Below are 16,521 nucleotides of genomic sequence, written 5' to 3'. Positions count from 1 at the left end.
TTTCAAGGCTGTTTCTCAGTGTGAAAGATTTAGCTTTCTTTAGGTATCATTCTGAGATGAAGGAGAAAGGGAAAGGGATAGTTATAGAAAACCTGTTCCTGAAAAAGTCCAATATTCACACATTTATTCATTTAATAGGTATTTATTGCAAATCTATTACATGCATGACACTTTGCAGGGCACTGGCTATGTAGTGATAACTAGGACCTTGCAGTCTGGTGGGAGAGACACATAGCAATCAGGACTGTGTGGTCCCTGTTTCTTACAGGAAGCTGCAAGACACAGGAAGGTCACCTACCTCAGCAGGATACTGTACCTATACTAGATTACATGCAGAGCGAAAGGGTCGCTCTGCAAATAAACATTTCAGCATGCTCTTTAGAGCAAGGGTGGCACTTGAAATATCTTCTCAGGCAATGCCAAAGCCAATGCTGAAAATCTCCAGGTGGGAACCAAAGGCAGTTGTGAAAACTCTCCTCTGTTTGTGCTAGTGTACTTAATGATATTATGATGTTTTTGACAATCTAGGAAAGATGTTCCCCCATGAAAACTTAGCCAACCAAGACCTAAAATAACCTGATGGTTTCAGGAAACAAGATCATCTATACATTCCCTCAGCTCAATCCAAAAAAATTTATTGAGATAAAGCCTCATCAACTTATTTTCTTTCTAAATCCCTATATGAAACTACCTTTAATATGTTTTTAAATGCAGATAGTCTTCGTGCCAGAGGATGGCATGAATAAAAATACTGTAAATGCAGTTTTGTACACTTGTTTCTTCATGGGCATCATCAAGTATTTTACATAATAATGTCATAATACAGATTTCTTCCCGCTGAAGAAGAAAGAGCTGAAATATAGGGTAAATAACAAATATTTCATTATTTGTGTTTTCCCATCAAATGCTACAGGTTCCAATAGTTGAACCTGGAATAATGTACTAGTTTTCCTTTTTCTATTCAATTAGTCTAAGATTGCACATAGTAGATTCCCAATGTAGTTGATAAAATAATATCCTTTTAAAGGAACCAGTGATTTTAATGTTTCTAGTTAAATAATAAATAAGATTGCATTAAGTAGGCTACTAATGGGGTTGATAAAATGTGATCCCTTTAAAGAAACTGGTGACTTTAATGCTTCTGGCTAAATAGTAAATATTACTAGTGCTGTAGACTGAATATTTGTGTTCCGCTAAAGTTCATATGTTGAAATCCTATCCCCCAAGGTATTAGGAGGTGGAGCCCTTGGGAGGTGATTAGGTCATGGGAACAGAGACCCCATGAATGCAATTAGCGCTCTTATAGAAGAGGCCGAAGAGAGATCCTTTGTCTCATCTGCCACATAAGGACACATCAAAAAGATGCAGTCTATGAACCAAGAAACGGGTTCTCAACACACACAGAATCTACCTATGCCTACGGCCTCCAAAACTGTAAGAAATAAATTTATCTTATTTATAAGCCACCCAGTTTATGGTATTTTGTTATAGCAGCCCAAACAGACTAACAGCTAGCACTAATGTTTTAAGTATGACTGTGTGGCAAGGGAAAGAGAACATGATCAAGGACTGAGCTAGTACAGAATGGGTGGCTTTCCATCTTCAATTAAAAAGCATTTGTTAATATTACAAAAAAGAAATAGAAAGTTAACCTGGAAATAAATAAATATATAAATGTCAGTGTTGTGCCAAGTGTACCAAGAGTGCTAGGGAAACTGGAAAGCATTTAGCTCAAGAAAAAAATTGTGTTTATATAGAAAGTCATTTCTGTAAGAGTCAAATATTCCCATTTAAAAGTTATCATGTCTTACTGTATAGTTGCATGGAATTTTCTTATTGCCAAAGTAAATGCCAAAAACGTAGGGAAAAAAGATTAAGGAGAAAATAAATTACCAAGATTTCTACTTATGGCAATATGGTGGATAAGAGTCAATGAATAGCCCTCAAGCTTGAAATAATAACATATTGATAAAATTATGAAATGAACAAATTCAATGCAATGCAAAACTGAACAGGAAATAAAGTATACATAGAGCCCAAAAATAAAGTGAAAGCAGGAACCCCAAGAGTAATCAAACACCAAAGTTAGCTTTTATCCTAAGGTTTCTGTTGAGCCCTAAGGACTTTAAGCTTACACTTTGAGGCCGTGAAGATCCCAACACAAAGAGATAAAGCCTGTGATTTCCTCAAAATGAGTAAACCAGCTTTTTTTAAACTACATATAAAAGCTAGGAGTCCTAGGTCCAAGATGAGAAATGAATCTCACTGAACAAAAACAAACAGCAAAATCTTGCCTGTCTTTACCTTGACACTAGGTGGAGAGAAAAATATCCCTGAGAATTAGTAACAAGCTAGTTCTCACGTAAGTTTGCAGCCCCAATTCATACCACCTGTGTGAGTCCTCAATCAAAATACAATTCGAAGTTGCTCAAGGTTGGTAGTTCCACTAAGCAACTGGCAAAAGCCAATGCTAATCCTATCTAGAGGAACTCAACTTCAATCCAGAACTCAGAGTTCCAAAGAAAATGAAGAGTCCACAATAAAAATATTACAAAACACACAAAGGAAAAAAAGGCACTATGAGCAAGAAACAAAAAGTAGATCCCAGAAAAGGTCTGCAAAGACCACCGGTAATATAATTATCAGGCACTGAAAATAAAATAATTATATCAACAAAGTTTTAAAGATAACAGGGGAACTTGAAAATGTGAGAAAGAAACAAGAGACCATAAGAAATTATTAAGCATACTGAGTTGAAACAAAATGGAGTTATAGAAGTGAATGTTAAAATAAATGAACTCGAAACCTCAATGGAGGAATAAAATAGCAAACAAGATGCAGCTATAAAGAGAACTAGTGGTCTACAAAATAGATATTAAAAATTATCCAACATGAACTCAAGAAAAAAAAAGATGAAAATAATGAATAAAAGGTTAAGAGCCAGGGAGGATTGAGCTAGAGGTCTAATATAGGTTCAATCAGAGTTCCATTTAAGACAGGCAGTATTTGAAAGAACAGTGACTGATCTGAGAAGACTCTATTTCTCAGATCCAAGAACCCCAATATATCCAGTCTCCCAGACACTTCCAGAATAATACACTCCCAGACACATTGCTGTGAAGCTGCAGAACATAAAAAGGAAAAAATAAATTAAATACAGACAGAAAGAAAGGGCAAAGCACCAACAAAGAAATGACAATTGATTGACAGCTGACTCTTCAATAACAATGGGATGCAGAAAGTAGTGAAATATAGATAATTATTACAATGTACTAAGAGAAAATAACTGCCAATCTCAAATACAATAAGACAGTGGAACAATCTTTTCAAAACAAAGGAGTCCTACGTATAACAAAACTTGTGCTTTACCTTTAAAAATGAAAATTATAATAAAAAACCTCTAAAGGATATACTTCATCAGAAGAAAGATGACTACAGGTAGTCTGAAGAAATGGTAAGAAAATATATTGGTAAATATGCAGGTAAACCCAAATGAATATTTACTACATAAAACCTAATTAAGAATATATTAAATTATAAAAATGTAATTTCAAATTAGTGGGGGAAATGATGAATCATTCAATCAATAGTATCAGGAAAACTGACCAGCCATTTTTTAAAATAGATGTCTGTTACTCAAGTGGATAAAGAAACTGTGGTATACATATTTATGATGGAATACTATCCAGCTATATAAAGGAATGAGTTAATGGCATTCACACAACCTGGATGGAATTGGAGACTATTATTCTAAGTGAAGTAACTCAGGAATGGAAAACCAAATATCATACACTCTCACTTATAAGTGGAAGCTAAACTATAAGGATGCAAAGGCATAAAAATGATACAACGGACTTTAGGAACTTGGGGGAAAGGATGGAAGGGGGATGAGGGATAAAAGACTACAAACTGGGTTCAGTGTAACTGCTCAGGTGTTGGGTGCACCAAAATCTCACCAATCACCCCTAAAGAACTTACTCATGTAACCAAATACCACCTGTTCCCCAAAAACCTATGGAAATTAAAAAAAATTATTAAATAAATAAATAAATAAAATGGATGTCTGTTATGGCCTCAATCTTGCTCCTTGAAATATTCACAGGTCAAAGCCTTAACTCCCACTATGACTATATTTGGAGATAGGGCGTATGAAAAAGTCATAAAGGTTAAATGAAGTCATAAGGGTAGGCTCGAATCCAATAGAACTGGTGTCTTTATAAAAGGAAGAAATATTAGAAACCTCTGCCTCTCTGAGCGAGCACAAAAGAAAGGCCATGTGAGGACACAGCAAGAAAGCAGCCCTCTATTAACCAAGAAAAGAGGCCTCACCAGAAGCCTGGCCCAACCTCACCTTGATCTTGGACTTCCAGTCTCCAGATATGAGAAAATAAATGACTGCTGTTTAAGCCGCCCAGCCTGTGGCACTTTGTTATGTTGGCTAGCTGATAAATATAATATCTTAAGTGTTCCATTTTTTACATTTCAGATGTGTTAAAACTTAAATATAAAATTAAAATGCTAAAAACTAATAAATATATGCAAAATTTTGAATATTTTGAATAGCAGAGATATTTCTAAGCATGATAACAAAGAAATCAAAAAGAAAAACTGATTTAATATCAACATTTAAATATTGGCAAAAATATAAGAAAGGCAAAATTTAAATGGCACACTTGGAAAAGATTTGTAATATAAATGAGCAAGAGATAATTTAAGAATTTTTACAAACAATATGAAAAGGGAAATGACTCCAGTTTACAAACGGGCAAAGCATATGATCAGACAACTCACAAAAGAGTGAAAACAATGGGTTAATAAACATGAAAAGCAAGCAACATTCTTATTAGTGAAGGTTGTACACATTATGACTACAAGCAATCAATTTTGCTTGTAAACAATTAAGATTAAATTGTATTTGCCCATAGTTTGAGAGGGTGTGCAGGCACATTTGGCAATATGTATTGTGTTCTTTGGCATCATCCTTTCATCTTAACAAGAATTTAACCTAAGGAAAAAAATGGACAAGAATGCAATAATATATATGAATGCATGTGTGGGTGGATGCACATGTGCACGTGCATGCGTGTCTATTTGGACGCTCATTATAGGGCTGTCTCAAATAAGTAAAGAAAGTAAATAATTGAGACTTGTTTTTCAGTGCAAAACTAGTTAAATAGAACCTACAATGGGATATTATCCAATCTTTATAAATTGTGATGACAGAGAAAGATACCAGCATTATATTAGTAAATGGCTATTATCTTGTAAGTAATGCAGGCTAAAAACTGTAGATATAGTGTGATGTCACCATGTTTGAAAAAATATATACATACATAATATATAAATTCATACTTAAGTAACTACTCAGAATATTTTTCTGTCATTGCAGCTGCACAGTCAAAAAATACTCCCATGCAAAACTTAAAACTCCAAACCACATTCGTTGATGATGTAATTCTCCATAGTTTTATACATTTCAGAGCTCATTATGTTTGATGGCAATTAGGCTAAAAAATGCTGTAATTCTTCATATCACCATCATGTTCAAATTACACATATACTTGATGAATGCACATGTCACTAGTCCCAAAGGAAAATACTGATTTAATACTAATCAAAATTACTAACATGTACATTCATCAAGTTTCAATGAAAAATGCTTTCTTAGCTTTATTTGTTCAGTTTTTCAGAAAAATAATTTTGATTTTAAACTTCTTTAACTTCTGCATTTAAATGATATTTAAGTTTTGATGGTTTCATTGCTTCTTTAACCAGTACACTTCGGCAAATCCAGCATCCAAAAAGTAAAATTCACTATGTCTGCCATCCAACCAAAGATTACCATGCCTGAAAAAAGAAACCAGAAAAGTAGAATGCATAGTGAGGAGAAGAATGTATTAGAACTGACACAAATGTTATTAGTAGTAGACAAGAACATTGAAAGACTCATTGTTGTAATTTATACATTCAAATTAATTTGCAGAGACACAGAAAATATTTGAAAGATCCAAATTGCATTTCTAGATATTATAACTACAGTGCATAAAATGAAAATACACTGATGGGATTAATGACAGAAAAGAAATTGAAGAATAAACGATTAGCAAACTTAAAGATGCAACAATAGAAATAATAAAAAAAGAGAAAAGAGAATTTTTAAAATAATATAGTATCAGGGAGCTGTGAAACAAATACAAGTGTAATAATATGTGTCTTCAGAGGCCCTAAAAAGGAGAGGGATTAAAAAGATGAAAAATTTTTGAAAATTTTATAGCTGAAATTTTCCTAAGTTTGGTGAAAATTGTCAACCCACAGATTCAAGAAACTCAATTAACTCCAAGGAAAATAAATGTGAACAAAATTACACCAAGACATGTCATCATCAAATTGAGAAAGATAAATCTTAACAGTGCCTATTCAAAAGATCAGTGAATCCAGGAGTTGGTTTTTTGAAAAAAATGATAAGATATACCACTAGCTAGACTAATAAAGAAGAAAAGAGAGAAGATCCAAATAAAAACAATTAGAAATGGTGAAGGGTATGTTACCACTGACCCCACAGAAATAAAGATACCCAAATAACCATCAGAAACTACTACGAATGCCTCTATGCACACAAACCAGAAAACCTAGAAGAAATCAATAAACTCCTGGGCATAAACACCTTCCTAAGACTGGAAGAAACTGATTCCCTGAACAGACCAATAACAAGCTCCAAAATTGAATCAGTAATAAATAGCCTATCAACCAGAAAAAGCCCAGGAACTGACGAATTCACAGCTGAATTCTACCAGATGTACAAAGAAGAGCTGCTACCATTCCTACAGAAACTATTCCAAAAAACTGAGGATGAGGGACTCCTCCCCAACTTATTCCATGAGGCCAGCTTCATCTTGATACCCAAACCTGGCAGAGACACAACAAGAATAGGAAACTTCAGGCAATATCCTTGATAAACATCGATCCAAAAATCCTCAGCAAAATACTGACAAACTGAACCCAGCAGCATATCAATAGCTAATACACCACGATCAAGTAGGCTTCATCCTAGGATGCAATGTTGGTTCAACATATGCAAATCAATATATATGATTCATCACATAAACAGAACCAAAAACAAAAACCACATGATTACCTCAATAAACCCAGAAAAGGCTTTCAATAAAATTCCACACCCCTTCATGTTAAAAACTTTCAATGAACTAAGTATTGAAGGAACATACCTCAATAAGAGCCATCTATTACAAACCCACAGCCAAAATTATACCGAAAGGGCAAAAGCTGGAAGTATTCCCCTTGAAAACTGGCACAAGACAAGGATGCACTCTCTCGCTATTCCTATTCAACATAGTATTGAAAGTCCTAGCCAGAGCAATCAAGCAAGAGAAAGAAATGGCATCCAAATAGGAATAGAGAAAGTCAAACGATCTATTTTCAGACAACATGATTCTATATCTAGAAAACCCCATAGTCTTGGCCTACAAGCTTCTTAAGCTGATAAGCAACTTCAGCAAAGTTTCAGGATTACAAAAATCAATGTATTAATACAAAAATCACTGGCATTCGTATACACCAACAACCGCCAAGCAGAGAGCCAAATCAGAAAGGCAATCCCATTCACATTTGCTACAAAATGAATGAAATACCTAAGAATACAGCTAATCAGGAAGGTGAAAGAACTCTACAATGAGAATTATAAAACACTGCTGAGTTCATTGTAGATTCTGGATATTAGCCCTTTGTCAGATGAGTAGGTTGTGAAAATTTTCTCCCATTTTGTGGGTTGCCTGTTCACTCTGATGGTAGTTTCTTTTGCTGTGCAGAAGCTCTTTAGTTTAATTAGATCCCATTTGTCTATTCTGGCTTTTGTTGCCATTGCTTTTGGTGTTTTAGACATGAAGTCCTTGCCCGTGCCTATGTCCTGAATGGTAATGCCTAGGTTTTCTTCTAGGGTTTTTAGGGTTTTAGGTCTAACATGTAAGTCTTTAATCCATCTTGAAGTGATTTTTGTATAAGGTGTAAGGAAGGGATCCAGTTTCAGCTTTCTACATATGGCTAGCCAGTTTTCCCAGCACCATTTATTAAATAGGGAATCCTTTCCCCATTGCTTGTTTTTGTCAGGTTTGTCAAAGATCACATAGTTGTAGATATGCAGCGTTATTTCTGAGGGCTCTGTTCTGTTCCATTGATCTATATCTCTGTTTTGGTACCATTACCATGCTGTTTTGGTTACTGTAGCCTTGTAGTATAGTTTGAAGTCAGGTAGCGTGATGCCTCCAGCTTTGTTCTTTTGGCTTAGGATTGACTTAGCAATGCGGGCTCTTTTTTGGTTCCATATGAACTTTAAAGTAGTTTTTTCCAATTCTGTGAAGAAAGTCATTGGTAGCTTGATGGGGATGGCATTGAATCTATAAATTACCTTGGGCAGTATGGCCATTTTCATGATATTGATTCTTCCTACCCATGAGCATGGAATGTTCTTCCATTTGTTTGTATCCTCTTTTATTTCATTGAGCAGTGGTTTGTAGTTCTCCTTGAAGAGGTCCTTCACGTCCCTTGTAAGGTGGATTCTTAGGTATCTTATTCTCTTTGAAGCAATTGTGAATGGGAGTTCACTCATGATTTGGCTCTCTGTTTGTCTGTTATTGGTGTATAAGAATGCTTGTGATTTTTGTACATTGATTTTGTATCCTGAGACTTAAACAACCCCATCAAAAAGTGGGCGAAGGACATGAACAGACACTTCTCAAAAGAAGACATTTATGCAGCCAAAAAACACATGAAAACATGCTCACATCACTGGCCATCAGAGAAATTCAAATCAAAACCACAATGAGATATCATCTCCCACCAGTTAGAATGGCAATCATTAAAAAGTCAGGAAACAACAGGTGCTGGAGAGGATGTGGAGAAATAGGAACACTTTTACACTGTTGGTGGGACTGTAAACTAGTTCAACCATTGTGGAAGTCAGTGTGGCGATTCCTCAGGGATCTAGAACTAGAAATAGCATTTGACCCAGCCATCCCATTACTGGGTATATACCCAAAGGATTATAAATCATGCTGCTATAAAGACACATGCACACGTATGTTTACTGCGGCACTATTCACAATAGCAAAGACTTGGAACCAACCCAAATGTCCAACAATGATCGACTGGATTAAGAAAATGTGGCACATATACACCATGGAATACTATGCAGCCATAAAAAATGATGAGTTCATGTCCTTTGTAGGGACATGGATGAAATTGGAAATCATCATTCTCAGTAAACTATCGCAAGAACAAAAAACCAAACACCGCATATTCTCACTCATAGGTGGGAATTGAACAATGAGAACACATGGACACAGGAAGGGGAACATCACACTCTGGGACTGTTGTGGGGTGGGGGGAGGGGGGAGAGATAGCATTGGGAGATATACCTAATCCTAGATGACGAGTTAGTGGGTGCAGCGCACCAGCATGTCACATGTATACATATGTAACTAACCTGCACATTGTGCACATGTGCCCTAAAAGTTAAAGTATAATAAAAAAAAAAACACTGCTGAAAGAAATCAGAGAAGGCAAAAAAAAAAAAAAATGGACAAACATCCATGCTTATGGATAGGAAGAATGAATGTCATTAAAATGGCTATTCTGCCCAAAGCAATTTACAGATTCAATACTATTCCTATCAAACTAACAGTGACATTCTTCACAGAGCAAAAAAAAAAAACTATTTTAAAATTAATATGGAACCAAGAAAGAGCTCAAATAGCAAAGGCAATCCTAAGCAAAAACAACGAAGCTGGAGATACCATGTTACCTGACTTCAAATTACACTATATGGCTACAGTAACAAAAACAAGCACACAGACCAATGGAAAGAATAGAGAGTCCAGAAATAAGGCCACACACCTGGAACCATCTGATATTCAACAAAACTGACAAAAACAAATGATGGGGAAAGGAGTCCCTATTCAATAAATGATGATGGGATAACTGGCTAGCCATATGCAGAAGATTGAAGCTGGACCCCTTCCTTAACCATATATAAAAATCAACTCAAGATGGATTAAAGACTTAAATATAAAATCCAAAACTATAAAAACCCAGAAGACAACCTAGGCAATACCATTCTAGACATAGGAATGGGCAAAAGTTTCATGACAAAGACACCAAAAGCAATTGCAACAAAAGCAAAAATTGACAAGTGAAATCTAATTAAACTTAAGAGCTTCTGCACAGCAAAAGAAACTATCAACAGAGTAAACAGACAACCTACAGAACAGAATATTTTTGCAAACTGTGCGTCTAATAGATATAATATCCAGTATCTATATGGAACTTAAACAAATTTACAAGAGAAAAACAACCAACCAAATTAAAAAGTGGGCAAAGGACATGAACAGACACTTTTCAAAAGACATATATGCAGCCAACAAGCTTATGAATAAATGCCCAATATCACTTATCATTAGAGAAACGCAAATCAAAACCACAATGAGATACCATCTCACACCAGTCAGAACGGCTATTAATAAAAAGTCAAAAAATAATAGATGCTGGTGATGCTGTGGAGAAAAAAGAACATTTATAGACTGTTGGTGGGAGGTGTAAATTAAGTATGGCAATTCCTCAAGAGCTAAAAGCAGAACTGCCATTTGACCCAGCAATCCCATTACTGGGTATATAGCCAGAGGAATATAAATCATTTTACTACAAAGCCACATGCACGCAAATGTTCATTGCAGCACTATTCACAATAGCAAAGATATGGAATTACCCTAAATGCCCATCAACAACAGACTGAATAAAGAAATTGTGGTTCATATACACCATGGAATACTATGCAGCCATAAAAAAGAATGAGATCATGTTTTTGTGAGAACACAGATGGAGCTGGAGGCTGTTACCCTCAACAAAGTAACACAGGAACAGAAAACCAAATACCACATGTTCTCACTTATAAGTGGGAGCTAAATGATGAAAATTTACAAACACAAAGAAGGAAACAACAGACACCGGGGTTCTTCTTGAGGGTGGAGGAAGGAAGGAGAAAGAAGAGCAGAAAAGATAACTATTGGATGCTGGGTTTAATTCCTGGGTGATTAAATAATCTGTATAACAAACCCTTGTGACACGAGTTTACCTATGTAACAAACCTTTCACATGTGCCCCCAAGCCTAAAATAAAAGTTTCAGAAAAAAGATTTAAAAACTTCAGATTTCTAGTTTTTTTACAACAGAGAACCCATTAAAAAGACCCACTATATGATATGTTTATTATGTTGACTGTAGCTATTGTTTCATTCTCTGTGTGTGTGTGTGTGTGTGTGTGTGTGTGTGTGTGTGTGTACTTGAAATCGTATACTTAAAATATGTGCAGTTTATTGTATGGCAAGCATACCCCAAATAAAGCTCTTTTCTAAATCTTGTTAGATTATTTTGTTCTTTCAATAAAGCCCTTTCTGAAAGGGCAGGTTAAAGACATGAGCATAGGTCTTCGTCTCTGTGTCAAATCTCAGAATCCCCTTTTTGTTTTGTTTTATATTGCCTTTGCTCCTGTGTATAATCTTAGACAATATAGTCTTCTCTGTGGCGTGGTATAATGAAAAGAATATTGGGTTAGAAGTTAGAACCAAATTTTTTTATTTTTAATTTTTGTGGGTATATAGTAGGTGTATACATTTATTGGATACATGAGATTTTTGGATATAGGCATGCAATGCATAATAATCACATCAGGGTAACCAGAGTATCCATTACGTCAAGCATTTACCCTTAGCGTTTCAAACAACCCAATTATACTCTCAGTTATTTTTAAATGAATGATTAAATTATTTTTTACTATAGTCACCCTGTTGTGCTAGCAAATACTAGGTCTTATTTATTCTAAGTGTTTCTGTACCCATTAACCATTCCCCCTTCCCCCCAACACCCCCACCCCTGACGACCCTTCCTATCCTATGGTAGCAATACTTCTACTCTCCATCTCCATGAGTTCAATTGTTTTAATTTCTAGCTCCCACAGATAAATGAGAACTTGTGATGTTTGTCCAAACCAAATTTCTATTTTGGCACTAAATAGCTGTGTAACCCTGAACACTTTACTTAAACTTTCTTGGATTCACTGCTCTCATCCAAAAAATCAGGTTGGACTGGATGATCTCTTAAATTTCTTCAGCATCTGTGATTTCCTGCAAATCAGATCAGGAGTACCACAGAAAGACTTCCCCTCAAAACTGATTCCAGAGCAACAGTAGGACTTGCATTTGGACATGATTAAATCACCTACCATTCAAAAGGAAACAGGAGCAATGAAAACAGAAAGAATATTTGGCACTGAGTCCATAAGTTTCCACCTGCTGTACATTCAAAGGCAATCAGAAAAGGAAAAGTAGGGACCTGTAGATTGGATATCAAATCAGGGAAGTCATTAAGGCTGCAGTAATAAAGCAGGCAGCTCTGCCCTGTCATCCTGGGTAAGACATAGACAAATGCACACAGGGCTGGCACAATGAGGCCCATTTTAAATCACAGATCAGGGCTTTGGACTAAACGGCCTGTGAAGACCCTCCTTCTTGCTCCAACATGCTCTGATTTGCATTTTTATTGTAGAATAAGGATTAAAATGGAGACAGATGAACATTTTTCACACCCAGTCCCAGTTTAATGTGAAATGTTTCTGCACAAAAATGTTTAATTGCTTTGCAGAAGTCACAAAGATGATTAAATGCCTCTTTCCTCTCCAAATGTGTATAACTATTAACTCTGCTTGTACAATATAGAAAACATGATGTTTTGGGATAATCTAGAAAATGAACATGAACAATATTCTCTGAAATAGCTATCACTGGTATCTAACTCAGCAAATGCCTGCTGAATGGTGCTGCGCTCATTTCTCCTTTTGTCTTTGGCCCTTAAACAAACAAAAAGATTGGAGCAATTGTTTCAAAAAAAAAAGAGGCTTCTGCAGAATGTTACCTAGATTTATGGGTGGGTGTGAGAGATACTCCCAATAGCCATTCCTCTTTCACCTGCCTGCCTTCACTAAAGTTTAAACACATTCCCAGCCTATCCCTGAAGCTACAATTGGCCATATGACACAATTCTAGCCATTGGGACATAAACAGAAGTCAGATGGGGGCTTTTAGGAACTTTTGCTTTTTCTGATAAGGCTTAGACAACCCCATCAGCCATCCCAACCCACCCCACCACACTTGCTTCCTGCACTGAACACAGGTGTGATTTCTGGGCTGACAGCAGCTATAGTACAACAATGAAATTACATATCAATATGCCAATGACAGTAGAGGGAAAAGTTAGAAAAGGCTTAGGTCCCAAATGGCATAATTGAGTCAAAAAGATAAATAGGCAAATAAACACCTGTTTGTTTAAGCCTCCATTAGCCAGGCTAACTAGTAGACTAACCATCTACTAGTTTTAGCAGAATATATTCCTCTCCAATACAGTAGGTTTAGGAAAAGGATTAATTGCCCTTTAGTTTGATAATGTGTCCATTACTTGCAAAACAAATAAAATTGATCCTTGATGTTTCTTAGTATAAGAAGATCATCATTATTTTACAGGGCTTGGATAAACAAGTCTTGGTTTTCATCAGTATTCCAAGAAGGAAATATTAGCATATATTGTCATCTCAGATAGACAACATATAAATACATGACTTGTATGTATATCATAATCTAGTTTGCATCATGATCAAAGCCATAGTGATAAGTCCTTCCTACTACCAAAACCATATATATTTAGCATTTGCCTGTTATCTACCTCAAAAGTCATAGTCATTTCATTCATTCATGTAATAAGTAGTTAAAATGCCTACTATGTGTCAGACACTGACATTTCACATATTCTCAACGGATTAGTACAGGAATTTGTCAATCTTTGTCATCCAATGTGCTTTAAATTCTAAAACTTTACATTTTTATGCTACAAAGAAAGTGAACTAGTTATGATTTGTCATGTTATTTTAGCTATGCTAAAAGTTTAGATGAAGGAAAAATGAACTTGCTCTACAAAAGGCCAGATAATAAAAATTTTAGCCTTTATACACCATGTTGCCATGACTCAGTTTTGTCATTTTAGCACAAAAACAGCCATAGACTATGTAAATGAATTAATGGCACTGTGTTGCAATAAAACTTCATTTATTAACACTGAAATTTAAATTTTATATAATTAACAGGTGTCACAAAGTAGTCTTCTTTCTGATTTTTTTTCAAAAATGTAAAAATTTTACAAAAATGTAAAAATAAAATTCTCTTATCTCACAGGTCATACAAAAACAGGAAGTGAACCAGATTTGGCCTGCAAGCCATATTTAAATCAATCCTCTCACTTTTTCCCTAAATGCTTCAGTCACCTGATTATGCCTTATAGAATAAGCAAGTGGGAACTTTCGAAACCTCACTCATATTTCATTGTGTAGCTCTTTCTAATAAAGTATTCAACAGAATCTCTGAAATATACTGCTTTACAAATCACTGATACTAAATTTCTTAATTCCTGCTTTCATTTATATGGGGGAAATCAGCCTTGTTGCATAGCAATAGGCAGAATTACCATGAATGCATTATGATCTGAAATCACATTTGCACAGATAGCTGATAATCCCCACGGAAGCTGCCTCCACAGCACCGGGGAGTACCCATTTATCTCTGTGCTCAACCCTGTTATCTTCCCCCAGAGCTCACCCCATCACAGGCTGCTTTTCTCATGCCACGTAAGAACACTGGCAGAGTAATAAAGGAAGGCATTCTTTGGTTAGCACATGATTTTAAGTGGCTTCCTTGAGTTTAGTCTGGCCACTAGAGAGATTTACACAGTTTCATCATTCATATAGAAGTTAATGGGACATCAAGGTTTTTTAATAATAAAATAGCATCAGGCAGGAAAAACATTGCTTTAGCATTCCTCAGGAAAAAAAAAAGACAAGGCAACATTATTTTTGGAGTATTAAAAAAATGATGTTTCTTGTCATTCTGGGGCTCAGAAGCATAACATCAAAGAACGACTCAGGCATTTTTTTACTATTGTCATATTTATTAAGACCAGCTTCTGTGCACATTTGGCATCAGTAACTAATACAAATTGTCTTTTTATGTTCAAGTATTTTCTGATTCCTTCATTTTACTGAGCAGAAACAGAAACCAGTGGATTATGAAAGAGCTTTGAGCAGCTTATCCCCCCCACCACCACTTTTGTCTCATCCATCTGACTTATTACCCTGGCACAACCCCCTTCAGGACTGGAGCTCTGCCCGCATTTCTATTATTTTTGGCTGGAAATCAAAGTCACCTATTAAATGAAGGTGACTTTGATTTCCGGGATTAAAAAAGAGACTTGAGGTATTCGCACTTCCACATTAACTGCAGCATTATTCACAATAGCCAAGATATGGGATCAACCTGTGTCCATCAGCAGACAAATAGATAAAGAAAACATGGTCTATATACACAATGGAATTCTATTCCATCATAAAAAAAATAATGAAATGTCATTTGCGATAGCATGGATGGAACTGGAGGACATTACGTTAAGTGAAATAAGACAAACATCGCATGTTCTCACTCATATGTGAAAGCTAAAATAGTGGATCTCACGGAGGTATAGAGTAGAACGGTGGTTACTAGAGGCCAGGAAGGGTAGAGGAGAAGGGAGGATAAGGAGAGATTGGTTACTGGGTACAAAAATACGGTTAGAAGGAATAAGATCTAGTGTTCAGTAGCCCAACAGGGTGACTATAGCTAACAATATCTTATTGTGTATTTCAAAATAGCTAGAAGAGAAGATCTGGAATGTACCCAACACAAAGAAATGATAAATGTTTGAGGCAATAGATATTCCAATTACCAGATTTAATTAGTACACATTGTATGCTCGTATCAAAATATCACATTAGCCCAATAATATATACAACTATTTATATCCATAAAAATTAAATCGAATAAAAAAGATTTGAGGATGGCTAGGCAGTGAATGACTTAGTGAGCACATCTAATAGCAAGGCACTATGCAAAGCTCTTCATATATTTAATATCTTATCATGTATTACACCTTTAGCTCTCAACAGTATCATTAGATGCTTTATCACTGTTTTATACAAAAGAAAACTAAAGCTTAGAGAATTTTTAAAACTTAAGCAAATTCACATTGCTGTTAATAAGTAATATTCCTTCCACTGTACTATAATTCCTCTTGGATTCTAGTTCTTTCCAGCTCTTCCCTAAGAATGAATTTATCTCTAATGTCTCCATATGAGTATGGGAGGAGCTCCCAAAACAGTCACCACTTGGCAGTGGATACTCTGGCATCTGAATATTGATTTTGGATTACCTGGAACCTTTTCCTTCCAGGATGAGACTTGAGCATATTGTGTTTGAGCAGCCTAGCTGCTTGTTTCAGGCCAAGCCTCTATCACTGGATAACTTCTCCAGCCCCTATTGCATACCTTGGTAAACAGATCCCACTCCTTTCTTGACAGCACAGTATTTCTGGATACCTATTATAC

The sequence above is a fragment of the Homo sapiens genome, chromosome 9 (assembly GCF_000001405.40).
Source record: "Homo sapiens chromosome 9, GRCh38.p14 Primary Assembly".
In the NCBI taxonomy this organism is placed as follows: domain Eukaryota; kingdom Metazoa; phylum Chordata; class Mammalia; order Primates; family Hominidae; genus Homo; species Homo sapiens.
Note: the sequence above shows the minus strand (reverse complement) of the source record.